Raw genomic sequence first — 26568 nt, forward strand, 5'->3', positions numbered from 1 at the left:
GAAGGACGTGATAGTTGGCCAATCAGAGTTCATCACGGTAGCCCAGTTAGCCAGTAGGACGCTGTGAAGGGGAAATGGGGCGGGGCCAGCGGGGTTGAGAGGACGGTAGGCGGTGGATAGGAGAGCTGGCGCAGCTGCCCTGGTGGCAGTGGCTGAAGTGGCGGCGGCTTCGGCGGCTGCGGCGGCTGCAACAGCTTCGGGCTCGGGGTTTTGGCGGCGGCGCCGGCGGGCTAGGCTGCGCGGTGCGGACCCCGGCGCGCGGTCCGGGTTGCTGGGGCGGCGCGTGTAAGAATCCGAGGGATGCGACGGCTTGGCCCGAGGGAGAGGGCAGGGATCAGGGGTCAGAGGACGCGGAGTAAGGGGTTGCGGCGCAGCACTCTGGTGTGGGAGGTGGGCCGTACGGGCCCAGAGGGGGCGCAGGGAAGTCTCCACCGCGCTTCTCTCCGTCCAGCCCGGGCCGGGGCTTTGCACCCTCTCTCCTCGCCCCCGACTTCTTAGGGCGACCCTCACGTGGGCTCCCAGCCAGGGGCTGGGAGCACGTGGAGCTGGAGCCAGCTGTCCTGCCTCCTTCTTCCTCCCTCCCTCGCTCTTCTCCCTGGCGCCCTTAGGTGACCCCACAGGAGTCTTGTGCCTGGGTCAGGCTGCCCCAGCGGACAGCGGGATGGTAGCTGAACCTCTTCCCCTAGGCCCTTTCCCCAGCGCTGGCCAGTTGGGTCCTCTGTAGAGGCAGAAGCAAAGCCCGCGGAGGGAACACTGGACCAGGACGCAGGAGTCCCGGGTTCTAGCCCTACTCCTCCACTGTGTGACCTTGGGCAAGTCTCTTCCCCTCTCTGGGCCTCATTTTTGTCTGTCTGGAAAAATGACGTGTTTGAATTCAAATCAGGGGACTGGTTCTAGTCGTAGGTGTATATAGGGTAATGGTTAAGCAGGCAGGGTCCCTGATTCAGACTGCCTGGGTTGAAACTTATAAAAGGCAAGTTAACCACTCCAAGCTTCAATTTCCTCATTCCTAAAGTGGGGATATTAGCTAAGATAGGATTTTTCAACAGCAGCTCAGTTGACATTTTGAGCCACATAATTCTGTTTCGGGAGGTCTCACCTGTGCATTGAAGCAAGTTCAGTGGCATACCTGGACTCCACCCACCAGCAATCCCCCCACTCCCAAGTTGTGACAGTCAAGATGTCTCCAGACATTGCCGATGTCCCCATGGGGGCAAAAATCACCCCAGTTGAAAGCCAGTGGGCAAAGGCAGTACAGGCAGGCAAGCAGTCATATATTAAACAGTTAAACAACCGTGTTGAAGCATTTGAATGCGAGGACTTTAATCTATGGTGGCAGATATCATGAAAATTATGCATGAACAACCCCCCTGCCTCTTTTTTTTTAGCTCATCATTAATGGTAGTGTATTTTATGTGTGGCCCAAGATAGTTCTTCCAGCGTGGCCCAGGGAAGCCAAAAGGTTGGACAGCCGTGAGTTAAAACATAGAAACCACTAGCCATTATGATAATGGTAACATTAAGAAACCTCTTCTCTGTGAGTTAATAAATTCTCCTGCCTTCAAAGTAAACATGGGAGATAATTGTCAAAGCTGAGTAATGGATACAAGGAAGTTCACGTATATATTCTCTGCACTTTTGAGAATGTTTGAAAATATCTGTGGTAAAAAGTTAAACCAAAACGACAATACAACCATAATTCTTAAGACTGCCAAATAGTAGTGTCTCATCTGGGATTTCCTCTTCTGCCTTTCCACTGCTGAGATTTAAAAGCAAAATAAATCCCCAGATCTGGAGGAAACTTAAGAAAAAAAAACTCACAGGAAGTGTGCTGGGCAGAGAGCTACGGGCTTAGCAGCAAGTAGAATGATGTTTACTTTCGCTGCCTTGTTTCAAAACGTTGTACTGTTCCCTGTGGATGCACAAGGATTTGCTTGGAGTTGTTCCAATGATTCGAGGAAGAAGTCAGTTGCTCAGCTGCCATTGACTAGGTCAGTTGGGAGGCAAAGTGGGTTGAGCCCAGAGCCCACAGCTTGAGGAAGGAACCTGCTGCTGTTTGCAAGTTCAAAGGTCTGCAGTCAGATCTGCTGAGTCTTTTTTTTTTTTTTTTTGGTTCTTCTCAGCGGAAACGGGAATGTGCATAAATAGGAGCTGTAACAGGCTAGCTCGGAGTGTTTTACTTATTTAGTTATTTTTAAATTTTTAGTTTATTTATTTTTTGAGATGGAGTCTCGCTCTGTCGCCCAGGCTGGAGTGTAGTGGCGTGATCTCAGTTCACTGCAACCTCTGCCTCCTGGGTTCAAGTGATTCTCCTGCTTCAGGCTCCCCAGTAGCTGGGATTACAGGCATGCACCACCACACCTGGCTAATTTTTGTATTTTTAGTAGAGACCAGGTTTCGCCATGTTGGCCAGGCTGGTCTCAAACTCCTGACCTCAAGCGATCCACCTGCCTCGGCCTCTCAAAATGTTGGGATTACAGGCATGAGCCACCACTCCCGGCTGCTCTGAGTGTTTTAAATTGGGAGTTAAGGATGAGCACTTTTACTGTATTAAAAAATACTCACCAGTTAAAAAAAAATACTCTTTTCCCCTTCCTCGGACACCTAAATCTAAGAGAACAACTCCTATATAAAAATGATATAAAAATCATACATTTTGGAAGTATGTTTCTAACTGTTCTGAGAGGCTGCATGGTAAAGCTGAAGTGAAAGATGTATTTTAAATCTGTATATATGAGCAAGTATATATTGATGATTGAAGCTAGGTGCTGCCTAAATACATGGCCCAGACTTTGAGGAATTATAGTGTAATGGCTGGGAATACAGGTTTGGAGTCACACCGTAGAGCTGAAAGCTTGGCTTTTATTTAGCTGTGGGTCCTTGGGCAGGATACGTAATCTGTCTGTGCCTGAAATACCCACCACACCCATCCTGTAATGGGGGGATAATAAGCCTGCCTATCTCATGGGGCTATTAAGAATTTTCAGTTAACTTTTACTTATGAAGTGCTAGTAGGGTCCCTCATACATAGTACGCACTCATTGAGTATTAACTATTATTATTATTACTATTTTGAGACGAGTCTCGCTCTGTCGCCCAGGCTGGAGTGCAGTGGTGCAATCTCGGCTCACTGCAAGCTCCGCCTCCCGGGTTCACGCCTTTCTCCTGCCTCAACCTCCTGAGCAGCTGGGACTACAGGCGTCTGCCACCACGCCCGGCTAATTTTTTGTATTTTTAGTAGAGACGGGGTTTCACCATGTTAGCCAGGATGGTCTTGATCTCCTGACCTCGTGATCCGCCCGCCTCGGCCTCCCAAAGTGCTGGGATTACAGGCATGAGCCACCGCGCCTGGCCGCATATTAACTATTATTTTAATGGTTGTATTTTTTTGTCATTTAATTTAATTAAATTAATTTATTTATTTATTTGAGGTGGAATCTGGCTCTGTCGCCCAGGCTGCAGTGCAGTGCACCATCTCGGCTCACTGCAACCTCTGCCTCCTGGGTTCAAGTGATTCTCCTGCCTCAGCCTACAGAGTAGCTGGGATTACAGGCGCAAGCCACCACACCCAGCTAATTTTTGTATCTTTAATAGAGGCGGGGTTTCTTCATTTTGGCCAGGCTGGTCTTGAACTCCTGAGCTCAAGTGATCCACCCGTCTCTGCCTCCCAAAGTGCTGGGATTACAGTTGTAAGCCACCGTGCCCAGCCTTTTATTTTACTTTATTTTTTAGAGACAGGGTCTCACTCTGTTGTCCAGGCTGGACTGCAGTGGTGTGATCATAGCTCACTATAACCTCCAACTCCTGGGATCAAGTGTTTCCGTCACCTCAGCCTCCCAAGCAGCTAGGCCTACAGGCATATGCCATCATACCCAGCTAATTTAAAATTTTTTATTTTGTAGAGATGGAGTCTTGCTACATTGCCCAGGCTGGTCTTGAACTGCTAGGCTCAAGCAGTTCTCCCACCTTGACCTCCCAAAGCGCTGAGATTACAGGTGGGAGCCACTGTGCCCAGCCTATTTTTTTCTTTGAAGTCTTTACAAAACTTACAAATAAATGTAAAGAGAAGTGGAGGTAGGACATATTGGCCCTAATGTCACTCTCCAGACAGAATTACCCTTAACTTTTCAGTATTTGTTCTTGCAGGGTTCCCTCCCTCCGTATTTTAATGCTATTATACTGTAATAATGCTTTTATTCTGTTTTTATTTATTTATTTATCTTTATTTTATTTTTTTGAGACAGAGTCTCGCCCTGTCACCCAGGCTGGATGGCTCTATCTCGGTTCACTGCAACCTCTGCCTTCCGGGTTCAAGCGATTCTCCTGCCTCAGCTTCTTGAGTAGCTGGGATTACCGGCACGTGCCACCCCGCCCAGCTAATTTTTTGAATTTTTGGTAGAGATGGGTTTTCACCATGTTGGCCAGGCTGCTCTCAAACTCCTGACCTCAGGATCCGCCCGCCTCGGCCTCCCAAAGTGCTGGGATTACAGGTGTCAGCCACTGTGCCCGGCCTAATTCTTTTATTTTTTAAGAGACAGGATTTCACTCTGTTGCCCAAGCCAGAGTGCAGTGGTGCAGTCATAGCTCACTGTAGCCTTGAACTCCTGGGCTCAAGTGAGCCTTCTGAGTAGCTGGGACTACAGGTGTGCCACCTGCCCAGCTAATTTTATTTATTTATTTATTTTTGTATGTTAAATATTTATTTTATTTTTTTCTGTGTGTATGCTTACCCAACCAGCTTTTTTTTTTTTTAATTTTTTATAGAGACAAGGTCTTGCTATATTGCCCAGGCTGATCTCAAATTCCTGGCCTTAATTGATCTTCCCACCACAGCCTTCCAAAATGCTGGGGTTACAGATGTGAGCCACCCCACCGGCCAATTTTTTTAAAAATTGAGTTTTAATTTACCATTTTATTATTTTTTAAATTAAGATATAATTTACCATTTTATTATTTATTTTGAGACAAGGTCTCTGTCACTTAAGCTGGAGTGCAGTGGCATGATCTCTGCTCACTGCAGCTTCCACCTCCTGGGTTTAAGCAATTCTCATGCCTCAGTTACCCGAGTACCTGGGATTACAGGCACCTACCACCAAGCCCAGCTAATTTTCTGTATTTTTAGTAGAGATGGGGTTTTGCTATGTTGGCCAGGCTGGTCTTGAACTCCTGGCTCAAGTGACCCACCCACCTTGGCCTCCCAAAGTGCTGGGATTATAGGTGTGAGCCACCGCGCCTGGCCCTAGTTCACCATTTTAAAGAGTATACTTGAGTGGTTTTTATTCACGAGGTTGTGCAACCATCACCACTATCTAATTTCAGAATAGATTCATCAGTCATGGCTGTATTTTAATAATTATCTTTTATTTTTTTAATTCCCAAACCCTAGAAGATGCCTCTAATGGAGGAGTTTCTGAGCAGCACCCCTGGCCCAGTGGCTTTGAAAGGGAGCTCAAACCAGAGACTATTTCAAGCCCTGGATATCATATCCTGAGGGCCACAGGAGAAGAGAACATGGCTGTGAGTTTGGATGACGACGTGCCGCTCATCCTGACCTTGGATGAGGGTGGCAGTGCCCCACTGGCTCCCTCCAACGGCCTGGGCCAAGAAGAGCTACCTAGCAAAAGTAAGATGGTGGGGTGGGCTGGGGGGACCCCAGCTTTTCTGTTTCAGAGGCTGAGAGGTGATAAGCGCTTTGTGGTCTGATAGTAGGGGTGTGTAACTTGTTGCCTGGCCCCACATTTGAGCCCCAAGTTCTGATACAGAAACTACTCCTGGGAGGCTGTGTGTTTCTCCTTCCACACCCCCAGCTTGGCAGTGTTTCTGGGGGCCTAGCTGCCCCTCTTGGTGCCCTCGCTACCTTCTCCACTGCCTGCCTTGCACCTGAGGTACCTTGGCCTGCCTGTGGATGCTTGGTGGGGACCTCAGGCCAACCTACTTTGGCTGCCTTCCCTGCCCCATTCCTTGTTAAAAAAAGAAACAGATTTCAACACCAGCCTCCGTCTGTCCCCATCTGAAACCGTTGGCAGGAAAGCAGCACTGCCCGCGTCTCTTTGCTCCATCTCAGTCCCTTCTTGCCCAGGACAGCGGGGAAGAGGGCGAGTGTTTTGTCATGATCCATTGATTTGAGGGCTTGGGGTTTTGCTTTGTCTTCCTCTGAACCAAAGCCTAGCACAAAGTGAACCCAAGTGCGGCAAGGAGCTTTAAATTTTTTAAATTTTAAGTGTGTTTCTGGCAGAATGAGAGGCCTTGAAAACCTTTCTGGTTCTCATCCCGAAGCCATTTGTTTCAGTTGCTCAGGCCTTGGGCTCAGGAGAGGCTTAAAATAACTCGCCTTTTCTGGAGGGTCCTAAGACATCAGGAAGCAGTGCTTTAGGGTCTGCTTAGCAAATGGATGTTCCACCGTCTCCCAGTGCTCCCCAGTCAGGGCAGAGATGTTTGGGGCCAAGGAGAGACGAGCCAGGCTCTCCCGTCTCATTTGTCCAGGGAGAATTCAGTTGAGTTGCAGGGAGTTTGGTGGCCTCCCCTGGGAACTGATGAAGGAGAGCAGTGTTTCCAGGGATGTGAGTGTGGTGGGGAGCCCTGGCTGCCTAGAAACAGGCCTCTCTTTGCTTCACTGTGTTCACCCTCATCTAGGGTGGCAGAGCTGGATTGCCCAGAAGGATTCGAACATAAACTTGATTTTTCCCCAAGTGCCACTCAGGGATGAGAAAGCAGTGGCTCTGATTTCAGACTATCTGTTTTCTTTCTGAAATCCCTTTGCAAGGCTAGGCAGTATTATCCCTATTTACAGAGGAGGAAACTATGGGTCAGAGAGGTCAAGTAACTTGTCTGAAGTCACACAGCCAGGAAATGGTTGAGCAGAGATTTGAACCCAGCATCATCTGACTCCAGAATTCCTTCCCCTTCTCCTCTTCCTTCTTTTACTTCTTCAGCTGCTCCTCCCTCTCCTTTTTTCTTCATCACCCTTAATAAATGTGAGCACAGGCCAGGCGTGGTGGCCCCCACCTTTAATCACAGCACTTTGGGAGGCCAAGGCAGGAAGATCACTTGAGCCCAGTGACTTTGAGTTCAAGACCAACCTGGGCAACATAGCGAGACCTCGGCTGTACAAAAAAATTAAAAACTTAGCTGGGTATGGTGGTGCATGCCTGTAGTCCCAGCTACTCAGGAGGCTGAGGTGGGAGGATTGCTTGAGCCCAGGAAGGTTGCAGTGGGCTATGACTGCACCACTGCACTCCAGCCTGGGCAACAGAGCAAGACCCTGTCTCAAAAAAATAAAAGGTGAGTACAGACCTTTAGCATTTATATTATCTCCTCATATAACCTCAATATAGGGTTGTTATTATTATCTGTATTTTACAGAGGAGGAGACAGGCTCAGAGAGGTTAAGTGACTTGTCCAAGGTCACACAGCTAGTAAGCAGTAAAGCCTGTCTTTCCTCCCACACCACAGTGGAAGGCGCTTTGGGGAAAGGGATGAAAGTGATTGTGGCTCAGTTTCAGCTTTAGAGAGGAATGCTGCCTAGTGAGGGAGGGTGGTTGGCCTACTAAGGGTGTGGCTTGTGTCTGGAAATAGCCAGGCTTAAGATTCTAAATGGGAATCCTGGCTGTCATCGTGAGTGTCACTTTTAAGTCCCTCCAACGTGCCTGACCTGATGGTGGGGTGTCCAGCTTTCCTGTGGGATGAAAGGGGCAAGAGAGCAACCCAGTCCTGTGTCAAGATCAGGCTTTGAATGTTGATGAATAGGAAATAGGCCAGAGACACAATAAGACTCCCCTTGGCTAGGCCACTAGCAAGGCTGCTTTTATCTTGGCAAAGTCAGTGGCTTGCTTTGGTTTGTTTCTCAAGAATAAAGAAATGTATAACTAACTGCTGGGGTCCAGGGACATTGTTTTTCCTGTACAGCACATTAGTATCTTAGTTTCTTCTCTCAGCTTCTTACTGGGTCATTTTTTAAAACCTCAATGACTTGTGGGTGTAATTCACCAAGCCTGGCTGGGAAGAAGGGTAGGACCTGTGCAAGTAAACAAGAGTTTTCAGAGGAGGCCTGCTCTGCCTTAGCATAGTAGGCCTTTGATATTTCATGCTTGGATTTTGGCCTTGACCTTCTACCCCAGCGTCCCCCTGTCCCTGCTGTCTGAGGAGCAGTCCTTCAGTCCTTTTTTTTGAGACAGTCTCGTTCTGCTACCCAGGCTAGAGTGCAGTGGCACAATCTCGGCTCATTGCAACCTCCGCCTCCCGTGTTCAAGCAATTCTCCTGCCTCAGCCTCCCAAGTAGCTGGGATTACAGGCGTGAGCCACTACACCCAGCTAATTTTTTTGTATTTTTAGTGGAGACGGGGGTTTTACCATGTTGGCCAGGCTGGTCTCGAACTGTTGGCCTCAAGTGATCCACCTGCCTCGGCCTCCCAAAGTGCTAGGATTATAGGCGTGAGCCACCACACCCGGCCCTGAGCAGTCCATCTAAAACACAAGCCCAACCTGGTTGTTGCCTTGTTTTAAAGCTTCCTGGGACTTTCCCATCCCTCTATGGGGGTTGGGGAGGGCAAGCTCTTCAGCTGGCAACGAAGCCTTGCGTGTTCTAGTGCCTTCTTGCTTGACCAGTCCCATTTCCTGCCTCAGTCCACAGCATCATACTGCATTTAGTTCGGTGAATCCCCTGTGCATTCTTAAACCTTTCCACCTTGCTGGCAAGTCAGTCTAGAATCCCTTTCTCAGCCTCTTGTTTGCTCGTGGCCTCCAGTTCTGTCTTGAAAATCCTGCTGATAACACCATCTCTTTGAAGCCTTCACTGAACTTCCCCTTCCTGACAGAGCTAATTACTCACTACCCTTTTCTGCTTCGGTATCTTGATTAGGCTTCCATTATTACAAGTAGATTATAGTGGGGTAATTACACATTTAACCATCTGATCACCTACTAGGCCCTGAGATCCATTCATCTTTTTTTTTTTTTTTTTTTTTTTGAGGTGGAGTATCACTCTGTCACCCAGGCTGGAGTGCAGTGGCACCATCTCAGTTCACTGCAACCTCCACCTCCCAGGTTCAAGTGATCCTCCCACCTCAGCAGCTGAGACTACAGGCATGTGTCACCACGCCCAGCTAATTTTTTGTATTTTCAGTAGAGCCTCTTTCCTTGGCTCCCAAATGGTTACCTTTTTGCTGTGTCCCCACGTGATTGTCCCTGAGTCTGTGTGTCTGTCCTCTTCTGATAAAGACACCAGTCCTATTGGATTAGAGCTCATCCATATGACCTTGTTTTATCTTAGTCACCTTTAAAGGCCCTTTCTCCAAACACAGTCACATTCTTTCACCATGTTGGCCAGGCTGATCTCAAATTCCTGACCTCGAGTGATCTATCCGCCTTGGCCTCCTGAAGCGCTGGGATTACAGGCATGAGCCACCATGCCTGGCCCATCCATTTGTCTTTGTATCACATAGCTCAGTGCCCACAATATGCAGGTACTCAACAAATAGTGGTCAGAATCAACGTACTTGGATTTCTGGGGCCTCGCAGCCCATGGGAGTGGCAGTGTAAGGGCCCGAGTTAGAGGTGGGCAGCCTCCCTCCTGCCGCCTCTCCTCACCATTGCTTTGAGTCCCATTGCTCTCAGCACAGCTGAGTGTCCTGGTGGCTGCCATCACTGACCTTTGTCTTTGGTTGCTGTAAACCTTTGAAGTACTAAGGAGTTGGCAGAATGCAGATGCAGGCCATCCGCGGAGTTGGCAACGACATGAGCATGGGCTACTGGGAACGAAGCAAGCTTTCTAAGGCTGAGTCACCATCAAGCCTGGCCTTTGTTTTGGCCCAGCAGCCGCTGAGGCCTTCTCAGCACTGTACCTCCACGCTCCATGTCTGGTTGGGCACCCCTAACAAAACACCATGGACTGGTGGCTTAAATGACAGAAATCTAATTTCTCACAGGTCTGGAGGCTGGAAGTCCAAGACCAAGGTGTCAGCAGGTTTGGTTTCTTGCGAAGCCTCTTTCCTTGGCTCGCAAATGGTTATCTTCTTGCTGTGTCCCCACATGATTGTCCCTGAGTCTGTGTGTCTGTCCTCTTCAGATAAGGACACCAGTCCTATTGGATTAGGGCTCATCCATATGACCTTGTTTTACCTTAATCACCTTTAAAGGCCCTTTCTCCAAAGACAGTCACATTCTGAGCTACTGGGGGTTAGGACTTCAGCCTATGAATTTGAGGGGGACACAGTTCAGGCCATCACACTCCTACCCATTCTTCAGAGGCAGGGACTGAGGAATCTGGCTGTGCTGCCTGTGACCTTTAACCCTATGTGAGGGCCTTATCCCTGCAGGAAACTGGAGGGTTTGGGTTTTTCTCCTTATATGGGCAATTGTGGATTTAATCCAAGACTCAGACATCTTTGGGCTCTAAGTGCGGCTGCTGCAGTGCTAATGAATGACTCACAGGCAGCATGGTGTCAGGTTGATAAAGGAGGCAGGTATGAGCAGAGGTATTTAAAGCCTGGAAACTAGGAATAACCTTGAAAACAGTCAGCGGGGCCACTGTTAGAGCAGTGTAGAGACAGACCACAGTCCACACCGCGTGACAGGCGGTGGTCTCACCCACCACATTCAGGGAATCAGGACGAGTCTGAATGTAGTGGGCAGTCCAAGGAATTTCCCAGGGTAACTCTGGTCACACTCAGCTCTGCCTTCTCCCTGCCTTTAAAGCCAGCTGCTGCCTAAGATGGGCTGGACCATGTGCCTTTTCTGAGTGAAGGAAGGATTGGGCTCGCGGGGGCTGGCTGAGGTCTGAGCAGGATGCTCCGTCTCTGCTTTGGTGCCGGGTTGTTTATGGTTTTCAGGTGACAGGTCCTGCAGCTAAGGCCCAAGGTCACAGCGCAGAGAGCTGACCTCTCCCTCCTTCACGCCGATGCCTGGCACATCATCTGGAGTTCCCTAGGACACAGTGCAGCCTCAGCAATGTGGAGGATCCCTGCCCCCTGGCAGGGGCCCCCATGTGGCACCCTGGTCCCCTTTTCAGGGTCTTCATGCAGCCAGGGCGAGTTGGCACCAGGCTCAGTCAAGGTGGGCCAGAGCTGTTGGCCGCAGGGCCGCCGTAGCCAGGAGGAGTTGGGAGAGATCCTCGCCGGCTGGCACCAGAGAAGAATACACCCCGAGGTGTGCGCTCCATCACTGATGTCTGTGCCGTGGCTCTGCCTCTGACCAGATGGCCCCAGCATACTTGCCAAAGAGTGAAGAAGCCCAAGGGGCTTGCACAGCTTTTGTCACTTGTGATACCATGGTGAGTGGAGTGGTTGAGCTGAGTATAGTGCTTAGCTGCTCTAAGCCTCAGCCTGCTCATCTGTAGAATGTGACCATGATGGCATCTACCAGTAGAGTCGTCATGGGGGATTGAGTGAGAGCATGTGTGTGATCACATGGTCAGTGCTCAGCCGGTCATAGGCATTATTATCATGGCAGAAACTGGGCTTCCTTGGAATATCCTCCATGAGCAGAGGTCCTGAACCCAGGCCACGATTCAGATCCTTCTTGCCTCACTCCTGGCACAGCAGGTGGCCCCTGCCAAGCTGGGACGCCTCCGTGTAGCAGCTGGAGACCAAGCAGCAATTAGATTTTCACAGGCTCCCACCGAGCTTGGGCATTTGGCTCCGCTGGAGTCATTCCCCTGGCTTTTTCAGGGCCTCACCAAGGCAGAGCGTCGGGTGTCACCAGACCAGCAGTGGTGCCAATTAAAATGAGTAAGCATCCAGCATGCTGGGCGAGAGCCTTGCAGCCGAGCCTTGGAGCTTTCACTTCCTCAGCCCTCCACATCTTCATGGGGGGGATCCTGTCTGTTGCCTCAGGCCCCCTGCCATGAGATGCCATCTCTTCCCGTCCCCCTTTCCCGCACACAAGACGCTGCCGCTCTAAATGGCAGTCGTGGCAGCTGGGTGCAGGCTGAAGCACCTGCCACTCTCCTCCCCACTCGCCTGGGGGAGGGCTGAGTTCACGTTTCCTCTGAGAGCGCTTCATGAGCCAGAACCGTGAACTTCTCAGCTTCCCCATCGGGGAGGCAATATGGGAGGGCTTGGATGGCTCACAGCAGCGTGCCGCTGGGGGCATCAGGTTGCAGTGCCCTCTGCGGGGAGGTTTCAAATGACAGCAAGGTAGCCCAGGAACAAACCTGGAGTGACGTCAATCTTGAGACAGCCCCCACGCCGCCTTCCTGCTCCAGGAGCCCTGGGTGGCTCTCCATTCTTGCCCTTGGCTAGAGTGAATCCTCTGGTTCGGACATCCTCTGACTGTCACCCTTCTCCCCGCAGTCAGGTATGCCTGGGGAGAGGATGTGCCTGGGTCAGGGTATGTGCAGTCATAATCATGGCCTGTGGGTGTTGAGCCCTCGCCGTGTGTCAGGCGGTATCCAAAGCACTTTTGTGCTGCTATCATTTGGTCCTCCCTCCCAGCAGATTTGGGGGGCCGTTACTTTCAATATCATCTCAAAGAAGAGGAAACGGAGGCTCTCAGAGGTTGAAACTTATCCAAGGTCACAAAGACACTTTGACTTCCTTTGAACCCATGTCTAGTGACTCCAGAACCAGTCTCTTACCTAGTATGCCCCCCTCCGTGAGGTAGAGCTCTGTGGAAGAGGTAGCATTTTAGGCTGAATTTCTTTGTTTCCCAAAAGGAAGTTGGTTTCTATCTTTATCCTTTTTTTAAATTAAACTTTTATTTCCTCCAAGGCAATTATTCTAAATGGAGTTCCATACCTAGAGCTCCCTTTCATATTGTAAAAATAGCACAACTGATGGCGTTTCATGGTGAAGCTGTGTTGGATCATCCCAGAGAAGCTCCGAGACAGGGCAAGTGAACACCAGACCACAAAGGACAGCTACAGTGTCACCATCTGTGGAAACTAGGCTTTTCCCCCATGCACGCCTTTTCCTGATTCTTCCTCTGCATAGAGACATTTGGCTACTTTTTCCATCATGGTGGTTAGAACAAGAAAATTTGGGCGGAAAATGGGAGTTCTCAGGAGCCAAGATTTGGGCCTGGGAAAGGAAGGATGAAGAGGAGCAGTTTGGAGCGGGGCATGAGGTTAGACTCTCAAGGCCAGGTGGGCTTGCTGAGGGCAGTGATCCTCTGAGGTTGTTGACTCCCAGTGGCAGGTGACCCCTTATCAGGACTTGCCTGGTAGAAGTCCCTGGACTGAGCCAGATAACTAAATTGGGACCATTGGTGCTTGTGTTGCCTTTTGTACCGGGTACCCTTTACGCCTTGTTTGCTTTTTGTTGGAGATATTTATCTCCTTGTAAAAAGTGCAGTTCTTTCCCTACCCCAGTCATGAGGCTCTGGCTCAGAGGAGGTACAAGATTGTAGCAAAAAATTTGAGAGCTGGGCCACCCTGGGGCCTGCCGGACCAGGGGCATACTGGGGCCAGTGTGCACTCTCTGAAGGGACAACTGTGATTTATTCTGGCTAATCATTGTCGTGTAGGATCACAGGCTGATTGCTAGCACATTTGCCAGTTTTTCAAAAGAAATTAGAACCTATATTTTTAATCAAAAGTCTTTTGATTTGTAAATAGTGGCAACCAATTCATATATGTCTTCAATGTATAGTGAAATCTGGTCAGTAGGCTGCCCCTGCTCTCTCTGACGTAGAACATACCGATTCACCCTTTGTTTTCTGTTCAGAGCAGACTACTTCAAATTAAGGAAAAGAGTACAAAACCAACAACAAACTCTCCATGGCCCTTGAGGTTATCTTCCTCTTCCAGTGGCTTCCAGTGGGAATCAGAACAGGTCAGGCAGTCTCCTCTTTGCCACTAAATGCTTTGCCCAAAGAAAGACCAGATTTCATTTGGCTTTGGGATCAAAGCTGGGGCTGGAGGGTGGAGGTGTCAAGCCAGGCCAGGCAAAGGGAGATTTGAAGCCAGAGCAGGTGGGCGCATCTCCCAGGAAACCCTGCATCATTCTTTCCTGGTGATTCTTTCCTTCTTTGTTATGGTTCACATGAGTCTATGGAGTGCTCATTCTACATTCTCCGTTCTTATCTTCATCCTATGCAACTTTAGACCGCTACTGTTTTTTAAAAGTGATTTGATTTGGGCTGTAACCTTTTTTTATTGTTGTTAGCTTTGACTTTGAAATGTGTAATAAAGATTCAAGTGAGCATTAGAAGTTTTTTTAAAAGTAGTGGTTTAAAAAAAAAAAAAAGAAAAAAGTGATTTAATAGCTGGTCTTCTTTTTTCCTTAAATCGTCACTTTCTTGTCAACTGAAAAACTAAGTCGAGTTACTAAAATGGCCGCACATTTAGGACTTAGAACAGCTGCCCTGGAAGTTAGAAGAAGTGCGTCAAGTATAGTTACAGCTTGGTCTGGTTGGCAGTGAGATGAGTATAGAACATGCTGCTTTTGTGGTGTATAACTCTAGAAGGGTTTAGGGGAGGTGGACATGGCTTCCCAAGAAGGTGGAAGATGGGGGCAGGAGGAGATGGCGTGCTTCCTCTTGGTGAGGGGTTGGGGTAGCATCCAGATTGGCTTTAGAGATCGGATTAAGCTTGAGTGTGCTGAGTGTCTAAGGAGATGAACAGGAAGTGAAAGATTCTCCCAGAAGAAAGGAATAGGGGAGGAAAGGTATACATGTGCTGGAGTGGGTGGCATCTGAGTCAGAGGGTTGGGGAGAAAGGTTAGATCCAAATCTTGAGGGTCTCCTTGCCTGCACTCCTAGAGCCATACTGAAGAGGAGCTGGACCTTCATCCTGGGGTGGCGGAAAAGCCCCGGGCACTTTAAGCAGGGGAATGACCATTGTTTTTCAGGGTAGTGTCTGAACATTCATTCATGCTGCCCTGGCAAGAGCAGTTGGCAATGATGGCAAGACCGGGCAGTGTGGAGGTGGCCCAGGGACACGGGGTGCCTACTGTGTTTTGCCTGAACTGTGTTTTAAGAGGCTGCATAACCAAGCAGTTGCTGTGCACGTACAGCTTGGCATCTGAGTCTCCCACCCCCCGGCACCCCATGTTTGTTACCTGCCTGGTGCCTGTAGGCATTTGAGTTTGTAGCCCCTGGTTGAATTCTGACGGTACAGCCCTTTGGCTGGACACCATGCAGCTCAGCCAGGGGAGTAGCAGAAGATCAACTATGGACAGGTGTGACTTAGGAAGAGGTGGAGTTTGGGGTGCTGGGGAGAGGGACCGAACATCCCAGGGAGGGGAAATGGCATAGGCTGAAGTAAGGAGGGGGGTTGCAGTGAGTCGAGATTGTCACTGCACTCCAGCCTGCCTGGGTGACAGAGCAAGACCCTGTCTCAAAAAGAAAAAAAAAAAAAGAAGTAGGAACTCTTCTGAGACCCACACCCTGGACGGGGCCAGAGACTAGCATGCTGGGGGCAGATTGGATTTGGGTGTGGTTACATGCACTCTGGGGTCAGACCCACTGAGTTTGAATCCAGCCCTGACTTCTCCTGCTGGGACTTTGGGCAGATGATGTAACCTCTCTAAGCTTTGATTTCCTCATCCGTAAAATGACACTAATATTAGTATTACCTTTTAGGACTGTTCTGAGGTTTATACAAGATAGCATGCCTCACACAACTAGCACAGTGCCTGGCTTATACAGAATGAGCATTGGGTGGATGTCAGCCATTATAATTAGGGTCAGGGGTCAGAGCAGGCATATCTGTTTTACAGAGTGCCTAAAATGCTGATGGCAGGAGTTTGGACCTGGTTGAGTTGGGCATGGGAGCTGCTAAATGTGTTTGGGCCAGAAAGCAAGTGATGACAGAGCATCTTCCTGCTGACATCTTGCCAGCTCGGGATGCTGTCTCTAGCCAACTTGATAAGCCCTGAGCTTAGAAACCCTGGGGTGGGTCAGCCCTGAATAGGGGTTACTTTTCCCTCTGGAGATTGAGAGGTGGATGGAGAGGAAACTGCCAGGCTATTCTGCAGTAGTAGGAGCCGGATTTGGCATTTTTCTCTCTGTGTCTGTCTCCCTGACCAGTCACTGAACTTCCCCAGGTCCCAGAAGCTCAGCTCAGTAGCTCAGTTCCTACTTCTTTTTTTTTTTTCTTGAGTTAGAGTCTTGCTCTGTTGCCCAGGCTGCAGTGCAGTGGCACAGTCTCGGCTCACTGCAACCTCCGCCTTCCGGGTTCAAGCAATTCTAGTGCCCCAGCCTCCCCAGTAGCTGGGATTACAGGTGTGCACCACCGCACCCTGTTAATTTTTTTGTATTTTTAGTAGAGACGGGGTTTCACCACATTGGCCAGGCTGGTCTCAAACTCCTGACCTCAAGTGATCTGCCCACCTCGGCCTCCCAAGGTGCTGGGATTACAGGCGTGAGCCACCATGCCTGGCCAGTCCCTACTTCTTAAGAGGCACTCAGGAAGCATCTGGACAATGCTGAACAGATGAGGACTTTCATAGGCTCACCTGGCCTGGGGTCTGGCCCAGGAGGGTGCTCTTTGATGAGAAACATCCCAGCGGTATTGGGCATGGAGGAAGCAGCTAGTGAAAGAAAAGCAGAGCTGATGGGAGGAAGATGTTTGACTGTGCCCAGCCCTGCCACATATCTCCCACTTTGCCCTCCCTAATCCCACCACACCCAGCTCTTAGGATCAGAAAGTACGTTGAAGTTCCAGGGCCACTCTCCTGAATAAAAAGTGTGGCTTCTGTTTCCGGCAGATAAGTTCCTGCTTTGTTCCAGTGCACTGACACAGTCCCCTGAACAACCCATCTTGGGTTGATCAGGAAGTTCTTAGTCTGTTCAGATGGCAGCCTACCTCTCATTTTATCATCCTCCTTCACGATAAAGCCCTGATGTTCTGCCTTTCCCACTTAGTGGAGAAACCTATCCTCATAGCCACACTTCCGGTATTGAGGAATTGGCATCTTGGAATACAGCTTGGGTATTTGGATGACAAATTATTAAAAATATTCTGATCTCTTTGCCCACATATTTTAGCTGTAGAAGCAAGCAGAGAGCATCATGTTACTGCAGCAGCAGTGCCGCTTATTTTTTTTCCTTAAAAAACATGATTTAGGGGTCCTAGTTTTGGTGGCTTCCTGCTTCAGCAGCATTTGGAAGACTTGCAGATATGTCCTGTGAGTGCCACGTGGGTGTGACCCCTGCTCCTTGGCCTGGCAACAATCCAGTAGCTGTATATTAGAGTGTCCTTTTTGCTACCTTAAATGACCAAGTCTTCCCCAGAGCCATTCTTGCTATCTCTTGCTATCCACCTGCCTCGGCCTCCCAAAGTGCTGAGATTACAGGCATGAGCCACCACTCCTGGCCCTTCCTGTTTATTTAGCTGAAGGCCTTGAGAGCCTTCCCTAACCTTTGAGGATAGTGGTTGTGTTTCCACAGTCTCTCATTCTCCAGGTATGCTGTTTATACCTCTTTCTCTGCTCTTCACGGCACAGAGACCCACTCGCTCCCCAGCACCGGGATGTGATCGATTTGATGATTGAATCAGAGTTTGCTTTGTGCCATGATGGATTGTGAGAAAATGGAGTTTTGATGAATTAGGTAATTTAAAATACGGGTGGGAGCCAGGCGCAGTGGTTCACCCTGTAATCTTAGCACTTTGGGAGACCAAGGCGAGAGGATCACTTGAGGCCAGGAATTTGAGACCAGCTTGGACAACATAGTGAGACCCCATTTCTAAAAAGAAGTTAAAAAAAGTTAGCCAGGTGTGGTGGTGCACACCTGTAGTCTCAGCTCCTTGAGAGGCTGAGGCATGAGGATTGCTTGAGCCCAGGAGTCTGAGACTGCAGTGAGCCATGATCACACTACTGCACTCGAGCCTGGGCATAGAGTAAGACCCTGTCTCTAGAAATACATATATACATATATATTTCAAAATAAAATATAGGTGGGAGGGCTAAGTTTGGCAAAGAATCCTTTCGTAGTATGAATAATACCCATTCTGTTCATCCAGCATCAAGCAGGGTTTTGTGAATCCTGCTCCCCCCAGCTAGGGCTTACCTGGTTTGTGAGTTTCTTTCTTGTGTCTCCCTGATGCCTGTTTGAGATGACTGGGCAGGGCAGGGCAGGAAGGTAGAGGCCTAACCCAGTGTAATGCCTGGGTGTTAATGGCTGTTGTTTTAGGTGCTGATGTTTTACACAGCTGTGCCTCTTTCTGGTAGTACAAGTTTTGCAAAGGCAGGGATCATGTCTCTTCTACACATATTCTGGGCACAATAATAGACATAATAGAAGTTGCATATCTGGGAGTGAGTCACCGGTTTCCAAAAACATCCAGGGTCCCAGGTGACTGTCACAGCTAAACCAGCCCCTGGAGCCACTGGAGGGTGACAAGGAGACTCATTCACATGTGATCAGACCAGAAGTAGCCCAGCAGGGCATGGCGTTGCTGCCCCTAGGAACAGCCTACTTTTTGGATGTTTGGGTCTCTGCTTCCAGCTTCGAACTCCCCAGGAGCCCACACATGTCCAATCCCAACCTTCCTTCCATCTAAGCTTCCCCGTCGCCGCCCTACCATTTGTAGACTGCCTGTCTCTCTTTTTTATCTCTCTTTTTGTTAGATTGGGATTTTATTATTTTTTTTTCCTAATTCTTTCAGCACTTGCTGAAAACCAGCTTGGGCAGAGCGACCTGTGCTTAGTGCTGGCTAATGGCTTGGAGCTGCTCCAAGCTGCCGGCTGCGCTGCCTTTCACTTGTGGGTGGTCGTCGACAAGCATGATGTCTTCTCTCTGTGACTCTCGAGGGGCCTCTCTTCTTGCGGGCTCGGCTGTTCACACTTGGCTGGCCTGCCTGGTTGTTTGGAATTGCAGTTTTTACTGCACAGCCTCGAGCCAGTCTGGTAGCTTCAACAGGGCGCAGATTTTATGAGTGCTAAAGTCCACTCAGCCTCCAGCCTAGTTGGCCCATTTGATTTTGTTGCATGTTGTTTTTTGCTATTTCCTCTTGGAGACCAGACGCCGTCCAGAGTGTATGGGGACACAGAAGTCTATAAATGGAGGTGGCTTGGGAGATTCTTAGGCTGTGATGAATGTGTGTCTATTGAGGAGTGATGGTACCTGCTGGTGTCTACAACGGTTGAACATTTTCTGAGTGTCGCGCAGTCTGCAAAGGATGGGGTTGAATTTCTGGCATCGTCTCTTGATAGCTGAACATCCTTGAATGAGGAGCTGAGCTTGTTTTTTCCTAAGTTGCAGTTTCTTCATTGTAAAATCAGTATATGATTGTCTACAGTCAGAGTCTCAACCCATGAGTAGGTAATTGAAGGACTTTCTGCATTGAGGATGTGAACCTTTCCTCCGTTCTCACATTCTTCCGGTTCCTCTTAAGGGATGTGAGTTGGTAGTTTGCATTTTCTGAAGTGTTGTAGCAGTTGAGGGACAGTAGTTAACTTCCTTGACTACCATTCCTGTTGTGTTGCAGGGAGAATTAAAAATCAAGCAGCTCCATCTCCTGCCCATTCTTTTTTTTTTTTTTTTTTGGAGACAGAGTCTCACTCTTGCCCAGGCTGGAGTGCAGAGGCACAATTTCGGCTCACTGCAACCTCGGCTTCCCAGGTTCAAGTGATTCTCCTGCCTCAGCTTCCCGAGTAGCTGGGATTACAGGCATCTGCCATCATGCCTGGCTAATTTTTGTATTTTTGTAGAGATGGGGTTTCACCATGTTGGCCAGGCTGGTCTTGAACTTCTGACCTCAGGTGAACTGCTCACCTTGGTGAGCCTCCCTAAGTGCTGGGATAACAGGCATGAGCCACCGCTCCTGGCCACTCCTGCTCATTCTTTAGGGTGGCTTCTTGATTTCCATTGTATTTTCCTTTATTCACAATGCTCCTTTTGGGCTGCCTTCCCCACCAACAGAAAGGGAAACTGAAGCAAAAGGAAGGGAAGGCCGAAAGCAGTGCCTGGCCATTGACTGCATAGGAATTCAGGGCCCTGGAGAAGTGGCAGGCCTAGGCCATCAAGCTCTCTGTGGGATGTAGCTGTCCTCCAGCTGTCACTTCCCCAATGTGCCCATGCTTGCTTCATGGCCGCCTCACCTCTTGTTACTCTTCTTCTGAACAAAGCCACCTGCAGCAGCAGCAGCAGCAGATCCAGGTGCTGGGGCGTGGCCAGTGTTCATGGAAGCCGGGTCCAGCCAGCCCCCAGGTGTTTCTGGTTAAGGACTAGAGCGGACTTTTGATCTGTGCTGAGTGGATGCCATCAGCTGACACATCAGTAGCCTTCATGCAGCTTGAGTCTCAAGCCAAACTTGTTCTTCCGAGCACTGGCTTTCTGCTGACCTCTTGCAGGGGAACCAGAGCGCACCAGTGCACAGTGAAAAATGCCTTTAATCTCCATTTGCTCTTCTCCGGCTCCCTTCCTTGTCCCTGGGTGTTTCACAATTAGCATTTCAGATGCTTCCAAGTGAATATGGAACAGATGTTCGCACAGGTGCTGTACTCTTCACTGGGTAAACAGTGGCGTTTGCGTGCCTCTGCGTGTGTGTGTGTGTGTGTGTGTGTGTGTGTGTGCGTGTGTGTGTATGAGACAGCAGGAAGCATAGGGCCTTTACAAATGTTTTTTAAAGCGTCTAAAACACTTTACACATGACGGGTACTCAATAAATACTTTGTGAGTGAGTGAGCAGTGGCAGGGAAAGCCCTTTGTTTCATAATAAACCCAGTGGCATGGGAGCAGGAAGTACAATTCCAAGTTGGGTCTTGAAATTCATGGACTAAAGAAGAAGTCATGTCCTGCCTCACCAAGAAATTACCCGTGGACATCTGGCAAACCGGGGGGCATGCTGTAGGGACAAGACACAGTTCTCCATCTCAGGAAGGAGGATTAGACAATAAAAATGACCGTGGCGGCCCCTGGCAATTTAATCTGCCTCACGAATGTGAGCTGGCCACGGCTGTGCTGGGAAAAGGAACTTGCGGTTTTGCCCATGCAGAATGTTTGCAGATGGGTTAGGGAGTTAGCCAGGACTGACCTCCTTGGCTGTGTTTTTCCAAGTAGCACACCTGATCAGGTTGCTCCACACCATTAGTCCCCAGTGGCTCAAGTCCAGGCCCTCAGCATGGCTTTCCGCCTGGCCTACACCCCCAGCCTTGCGGAAACAGTGGAGGGAAAGGTGAGGGCTTGGCTGCCCGTCGTTTCCTCCCTCTGTGACCTTGGGCAAGTCACTCAGCTTCTCTGGGCCTTAGTTTCACCCTCTGTAAACTGGGGATAATAATCAAGTCTTGTTTGTAGGGCCTTTGTACACTTAGAAGAATTAATTAACGTAAAGCCCTTTCAACCGTGTCTGGTGTGTGGTAAGTACTGAATGCGAATCGTGGCTGTTACCTTTGCCCACTGCGTCATCCTGGTCACTGGTCTCTGGCACTTTAAGCTTCAGAATTACAGAACCCTCTGCAGTTTCTCAGACGTGCCCTGCTGTTGAAGTCTCTGTGCTCTCTGAATGACTATCCTTGTTTCTAGAATGTGCCACTCACCCCATCCCCATCCACCCTGTGAATACCTCCTCATCCCTCATGCTTGAAATGCCAGCCCTGGCATTCCCCTGAGTTCCTCCCTGCCACTGGCCACCAGCCCCCACGGAGGGCCCTTGTCATCCCAGCCCATTTTAGATCTCAGTGCACCAGAGTCACGATCCTTCATTACCTACTGATGGAGAGTTCCATGAGGGCGAGGGCCATGGTTTCACCTTTTCTAATCCAACACCTAGCACAATGCCTGGTATACAGTAAGTGCTGAATAAATGTCTCCTCAAATTAAACCATATGTGTTTGCATGTAGGTGGTCAGTCTTTTAAAACTACATCTGGCCGGGTGCGGTGCCTCACACCTGTAATCCCAGCATTTTGGGAGGCTGAGGTGGGTGGATCACTTGATGTCAGAAGTTCAAGACCAGCCTAGCCAACATGGTGAAACCCCATCTCTACTAAAAATACAAAAATTAGCCAGGCCTGATGGCGGGCGCCTGTATTCCCAGCTATTTGGGAGACTGAGGCACAAGAATCACTTGAACCCGGGAGATGGAGGTTGCAGTGAGCCAAGATCGTGCCATTGCACTTTAGCCTGGATGACAGAGTGGGACCCTGTCTCAAAAAAAAAAAAATACTACATCCTCCCTTTTTCTCCCCAAAATTATCATGTGATTTATTAAGACTAGAGGCCAGGCACAGACTCATGCCTGTAATCCCACTCCATGGGAAAGCATGGCTCATCCCTATAATCCCAGCACTTTGGGAGGCCGAGGTGGGTGGATCACCTGAGGTCAGGATTTTGAGACCAGCCTGGCCAACTTTGTGAACCCTGTCTCTACTAAAAATACAAAAAATTAGCTGGGTGTGGTGGCAGGCACCTATAATCCCAGCTACTGAGGAGGCTGAGGCAGGAGAATCACTTGAACTTGAGAGGTGGAGGTTGCAGTGAGCCAAGATTGTGCCACTGCACTCCAGCCTGAGCAACAAGAGTGAGACTCCATCTCAAAAATAAATAAATAAAAATAAAAATAAAATAAAAAAAGTTTAGAAAGGTGTTCTCAAGGCAATGTTTGCAACCTTAGGATGTCTGTTGTGTGTTCCTCATGTGGACGGTTAGGAAGTGGGCATCTCAGGCTGCAGTCACTGCCCCCGATGATTTTGATGTGCTCATTTCCCAGCCCCTCTCCCTGCCTACATTCTCCTCTGTCCCCTAACTCCCAAAAGCCTGTTTCTGATCTGCACCCCTCCTGCCTTTCCATGTCTTTCACACTCCATTTATAGAACTGCTCTCCGCTTCCTTGCCCCATCCCCTGCCAGTTCCAGGCTCCCTGGGCCTGGCCTCATGGATGACAGTGAACCTCTCTGGACTTGGCCACTTAGGTCCCTTTCAGGTGGCCGGAAACAGAGTTAGAGGAGACACAGGGCATTATCCTGACCACTTTCACACCAGAGTCCCTCCCTCTAGAACAGGGCTTGACCCGTGGTACTGCCCCGTTGAGCCTTTCTTTTTCCCTTTCCTCCTTTGGCTTAAGCCTTTGGCAGGACAGATTTTGGGCTGGAGGCCAGCAATTCAACTGGGAGGGCTCTGTGCCAGTTCTTGCCTTTCTGAAGGTTGGTACATTTGCCCAGGGCTCTGCTTGGGTTTGGAGCCTTTACTAACGTGTGTCAATAATGCGGGTCCACCTTCCATACCATCTTGCAACCAATTATCAGAAAGAGAAGGCCTGAGCAGGGGGATGTGCATTTTGCTTTCTTTCGGCGTAGCATCTCATGCTAGATTTTTATCTGGGGGCCTTTGAAGAGCCAGCCGGCACAGAAGCATGGTGGCAACGCTGTGCCTGGAAAACTCATCAGTGTCACTCTGGTTTATTTTCCTCTCCTCTTTGAGCTCTTTCCCATGGTGTGGGGCTCTCAGTGACAACTGGCAAGCGGCGGGGCGGTTGCTCGTTGTCATTCTGGTAGGCGCTGGTTTCCGGAGGGCTCCGAGTGCTTTGTGAGTATTCGCATTTGTTTCTGAGATGCTGGGAGCACGGTTGGCACTGGTCCCAGTTTCTGGATGAAGAAACTGAGGCTCTGGGGATTAAGATCGTGAACTGTGGGGAGTGGAGGAGGCACAGCTGGAGTGAACTTGGGTGTCCAGGGTTCTGTTTCGTCTCACAGAGGATGTGCGAGGGTGTATGTGTGCATTTGAGAATGTGTGAGGTTGTGTGTGTTTAAGAAAATGAGAATGAGGCTGGGCACAGTGGCTCATGCCTGTAATCCCAACACTTTGAGAGGCTGAGCTGGGTGGATGACTTGAGCCCAGGAGTTCAAGACCAGACTGGGGAACATGGTGATGAAACCCTGTCTCTACAAAAAAATACAAAAAATTAGCAGGGCATGGCAATCCATGCCTGTAGTCCCAGCTACTTGGGAGGCTGAGGTGGGAGGATTGCTTGAACCCAGGAGATAAAGGCTGCAGTGAGCCATGATCGCACCACTGCACTCCAGCCTGGGCAACAGAGTGAGACCCTGTCTCCAAAAAAAGAAAGAAAGAAAATAAAAAGGAGAGAGGTTAGAAAAGGGGGCTGGGCGCGGTGGCTCACGCCTGTAATCCCAGCACTTTGGGAGGCCGAGGCGGGCGGATCACGAGGTCAGGAGATCGAGACCATCCTGGCTAACACGGTGAAACCCCGTCTCTACTAAAAAAAAATACAAAAAATTAGCCGGGCGTGGTAGCGGGCGCCTGTAGTCCCAGCTACTCGGGAGGCTGAGGCAGGAGAATGGCGTGAGCCCGGGAGGCGGAGCTTGCAGTGAGCCGAGATCGCGCCACTGCACTCCAGCCTGGGCGACAGAGCAAGACTCCGTCTCAAAAAAAAAAAAAAAAAAAAAGAAAAGAAAAGGGGTAGGCCCCTCAGTATCACCCTTCCTGAGAACAGTCATTCTCTGCTTTTTCTGATCAGAGCTCCCTCCCAGGAGGGGCCCTTTTATCCAAAGCGATCTCTGGCCCAGGCACCAAAGAAAGGCCCCAGTGGTTTACGCAGCCGGGCTGCCCCCTGCGCCTGCTGGGTGAGGGGTGGGTCGTGGAAGCCTTCCCCTCCTGCCTGTTCTTTCCTGCTCCTCCCCAGTGCATCTTTATAGCTGGCATATGGAAACTGTTTCTATTTATCTGGCACCACCAGGACGCTGCTGCATGCTGTGCTCCAGCAAACAGAAACCTTGGATTCCCTGCAGGGTCATTTCCGATGTGGCGTGCAAAGCAGCCAGCTGTTTCGAGGGAGCGTCTGGGCCCTGTGACATCAGCATGTGGGAGTGTTACCGTGTGTGCAAACAGGTCATTCTGGTTTGTCTGCCTGTCCTCTGCACCGGGATGTCTCTCCTGCTTCGAGTCAGAGTTTGCGTTGTTGTTTTGTATTCTCATGCCTGTCAGTTCAGCTGTTTCTTTCCACTCCTTCCCGTCCTCTGAGTGGTTTTACGTTCTCTCCTCCGGGCTGATTGCCAGGATTCAGGGAGGGAGGTTAAGGGGCTGGTGCCACATAAATCTTTAGTGGCCAAAGTCTGCAGGCCTGCAAGGCTGCGCCTGTCCTCTTGGTCTGGTTTTCCCAAGAGAGCTGTCTGCCCAGGGCACCAGAAGGGCAGGACAAAATGTTTCCCTTCGTGGAACTTTCCCCAGAGGCCCAGAACAGAGATGCAGAATACAGTCTTCCTGGTTGCCAAGAGTGTTCCTGGTCAGCCTCCTCTGGTCCTTTCTGAAACCTGCATGTGGAGCTTGCTGGCTGTGGGAGCCAGGGAGACTGCAAATCCTGCCCGCCTGCCCACGCTGCTGCTCATCTCCCTCCCTCCTATGTCCGGCCCGGTTGCCTCCCAGGAAAGGTAAACATGCAGAGGCAAGGGCTAGCTGCCGGCCTTCTGGAGGAGGCAGTGGAGGGCCAGCTTCCTGACAGCCCCGTGGTGAGGTCGTCCTGTCTTCTCAAGCTGGGCCCCTGCGACGTGCCCCAGTTCCTGCCTTTCCAGCTGGCCTGGAAGAACCCGTTCTGCTCTGGGCAAGAACAGTGCCAAGGTCAGAGGCCAAAGGTGTTGCTTCTTCCGTGGTCCGTAATGAGCACCAGTTGGAGAGGGCCAGCCCCGGCACACAGAGGAAGGGGCTGGACTGGGGTGATGCGGGGTGAGCCTGCCCGGTCACTTTGTTGGCTAGGATGCTTCCTGTGCTTTCTGTGCCTGGTACTCCAAAGATGCGAGTGCCAGTCATTGACCTGGAGGTTCTGCCCAGGGTCTGTGGGCAGTAGGAGGTCAGAACAAGGCACCAGGCCACTAGAGCAGGTGGGTGTAAACAACTGTTGGCATTCGAGGCTGCCCAGGTAGAGGTCCTGGAGTGAACCCAGTGGGCACGATGGGCTTCAGTGGGGCAGAGTGTCCTCTAGCTTCACACACAGTGCTGATGACTCAGGCCAGCTGGGGGCCCCTGCACATGCTCTTAGTTCCCACGTGGAGGGTATTCATTTTGAGGAAGCTGGGCCTGCCGGGATTGGTTCCCCAGCAAGCAGGGGCTCATTCTCCCAGAAACCACTCCATCTGCACTCACACCCTGACTCACCAGGCTCACATCCTGACTTACCAGGACTTGGCTATCAGCCTGTCCCCTTTGATCTGCCCCTTCTGCCCCCTGCCTTCCCGCTTTCTGGGCCTGAAATGTCCTCCTCAGAAAGCTGCCGAGCCTTCGAGCATACCTTCTGCGGGAACAACGCAGCACTCGGAGTGGGAGCATATCCATTGTCCCTTCAGCCACTTCTGCAACCTCTTAAGTGGGGAAGAGGGTTAGACAGCAGACAGGGCAGGGGATTAGCACTCCACGAGGTGGCCCAGCCCCACCCGGCCCCTGCCGTGCCCTCGTCTTGGCTGGTACAGCTGCACTGCTGCGTGAAGGCCACGTACAAAAGGAACAGAATGGAACTGTGGCTCCTCGCCTTCCATTTGCACCCTTTCTATAATCCCTAAATATGTAGCCCAGTTGCTCGTGCCTTGATGTGAAGGAGGCCCTTTGCGATCACCTGTGGCTTTCTTGAAAAGTCCCTGAGTGGCCAGTGTCACCCCAGGCCTTCCATCCCTCTCTCCGTGTGGAGAAATGAGCGATCATGCTTTGCCTTTTGGGACCACATGAGCACTCCAAGTCCTGTTTTCTG

The 26568-nt window shown here is 50.2% G+C and overlaps 1 protein-coding gene across 13 annotated transcripts in view, besides 13 other annotated features; it reads left to right on the forward strand.

Moving 5' to 3' along the window:
- The first annotated feature begins 122 nt into the window (after positions 1-122).
- Positions 123-26568, forward strand: part of TPCN1 (two pore segment channel 1) — a 77122-nt gene continuing 50676 nt past the window's right edge. For 2 of the 13 annotated variants that reach the window (NM_001143819.3, XM_017019480.3), the window contains exons 1-3: positions 123-285; positions 3903-3995; positions 5387-5623. In NM_001143819.3, the coding sequence (NP_001137291.1) occupies positions 3905-3995; positions 5387-5623 (328 nt within the window). In that variant the 5' untranslated portion in view covers positions 123-285; positions 3903-3904. The other 11 variants (XM_011538492.3, XM_047429011.1, XR_001748766.3 and 8 more) reach the window with 9 other exon arrangements.
- Positions 1823-2117: a silencer, noted in NCBI's record as "tiled region #2606; K562 Repressive DNase unmatched - State 5:Enh". NCBI's record gives its function as "represses a minimal TATA promoter and a strong SV40 promoter by Sharpr-MPRA in K562 cells {active_cell/tissue: K562}" and the evidence as "EXISTENCE:reporter gene assay evidence [ECO:0000049][PMID:27701403]".
- Positions 2832-3001: an enhancer, noted in NCBI's record as "experimental_24601 CRE fragment used in MPRA reporter constructs". NCBI's record gives its function as "activates a minimal promoter by MPRAs in K562 erythroleukemia cells, with activity observed for both the introgressed and non-introgressed 12:113662063 variant alleles {active_cell/tissue: K562}" and the evidence as "EXISTENCE:reporter gene assay evidence [ECO:0000049][PMID:34662402]".
- Positions 4375-4544: an enhancer, noted in NCBI's record as "experimental_24602 CRE fragment used in MPRA reporter constructs". NCBI's record gives its function as "activates a minimal promoter by MPRAs in K562 erythroleukemia cells, with activity observed for the non-introgressed 12:113663606 variant allele {active_cell/tissue: K562}" and the evidence as "EXISTENCE:reporter gene assay evidence [ECO:0000049][PMID:34662402]".
- Positions 8561-8910: an enhancer, noted in NCBI's record as "active region_7069". NCBI's record gives its function as "activates an Ori minimal core promoter by ATAC-STARR-seq in GM12878 lymphoblastoid cells {active_cell/tissue: GM12878}" and the evidence as "EXISTENCE:reporter gene assay evidence [ECO:0000049][PMID:35858748]".
- Positions 8981-9030: an enhancer, noted in NCBI's record as "active region_7070". NCBI's record gives its function as "activates an Ori minimal core promoter by ATAC-STARR-seq in GM12878 lymphoblastoid cells {active_cell/tissue: GM12878}" and the evidence as "EXISTENCE:reporter gene assay evidence [ECO:0000049][PMID:35858748]".
- Positions 10147-10697: an enhancer, noted in NCBI's record as "H3K27ac-H3K4me1 hESC enhancer chr12:113669293-113669843 (GRCh37/hg19 assembly coordinates)". NCBI's record gives its function as "activates a minimal SCP1, AML or CMV promoter by ChIP-STARR-seq in naive H9 embryonic stem cells {active_cell/tissue: H9 hESC(naive)}" and the evidence as "EXISTENCE:reporter gene assay evidence [ECO:0000049][PMID:30033119]".
- Positions 11766-11875: an enhancer, noted in NCBI's record as "active region_7071". NCBI's record gives its function as "activates an Ori minimal core promoter by ATAC-STARR-seq in GM12878 lymphoblastoid cells {active_cell/tissue: GM12878}" and the evidence as "EXISTENCE:reporter gene assay evidence [ECO:0000049][PMID:35858748]".
- Positions 11896-12035: an enhancer, noted in NCBI's record as "active region_7072". NCBI's record gives its function as "activates an Ori minimal core promoter by ATAC-STARR-seq in GM12878 lymphoblastoid cells {active_cell/tissue: GM12878}" and the evidence as "EXISTENCE:reporter gene assay evidence [ECO:0000049][PMID:35858748]".
- Positions 11896-12127: a biological region, named in NCBI's record as "ATAC-STARR-seq lymphoblastoid active region 7072".
- Positions 11958-12127: an enhancer, noted in NCBI's record as "experimental_24604 CRE fragment used in MPRA reporter constructs". NCBI's record gives its function as "activates a minimal promoter by MPRAs in K562 erythroleukemia cells, with activity observed for both the introgressed and non-introgressed 12:113671189 or rs61943586 variant alleles {active_cell/tissue: K562}" and the evidence as "EXISTENCE:reporter gene assay evidence [ECO:0000049][PMID:34662402]".
- Position 12043: a transcriptional cis regulatory region, noted in NCBI's record as "Neanderthal adaptively introgressed variant 12:113671189 (GRCh37/hg19 assembly coordinates) or rs61943586 in the experimental_24604 CRE". NCBI's record gives its function as "modulates activity of the experimental_24604 enhancer by MPRAs in K562 erythroleukemia cells {active_cell/tissue: K562}" and the evidence as "EXISTENCE:reporter gene assay evidence [ECO:0000049][PMID:34662402]".
- Positions 24503-25166: an enhancer, noted in NCBI's record as "OCT4-NANOG-H3K27ac-H3K4me1 hESC enhancer chr12:113683649-113684312 (GRCh37/hg19 assembly coordinates)". NCBI's record gives its function as "activates a minimal SCP1, AML or CMV promoter by ChIP-STARR-seq in naive H9 embryonic stem cells {active_cell/tissue: H9 hESC(naive)}" and the evidence as "EXISTENCE:reporter gene assay evidence [ECO:0000049][PMID:30033119]".
- Positions 25167-25830: an enhancer, noted in NCBI's record as "H3K27ac-H3K4me1 hESC enhancer chr12:113684313-113684976 (GRCh37/hg19 assembly coordinates)". NCBI's record gives its function as "activates a minimal SCP1, AML or CMV promoter by ChIP-STARR-seq in naive and primed H9 embryonic stem cells {active_cell/tissue: H9 hESC(naive and primed)}" and the evidence as "EXISTENCE:reporter gene assay evidence [ECO:0000049][PMID:30033119]".

This window comes from Homo sapiens, chromosome 12 (genome assembly GCF_000001405.40).
Source record: "Homo sapiens chromosome 12, GRCh38.p14 Primary Assembly".
In the NCBI taxonomy this organism is placed as follows: domain Eukaryota; kingdom Metazoa; phylum Chordata; class Mammalia; order Primates; family Hominidae; genus Homo; species Homo sapiens.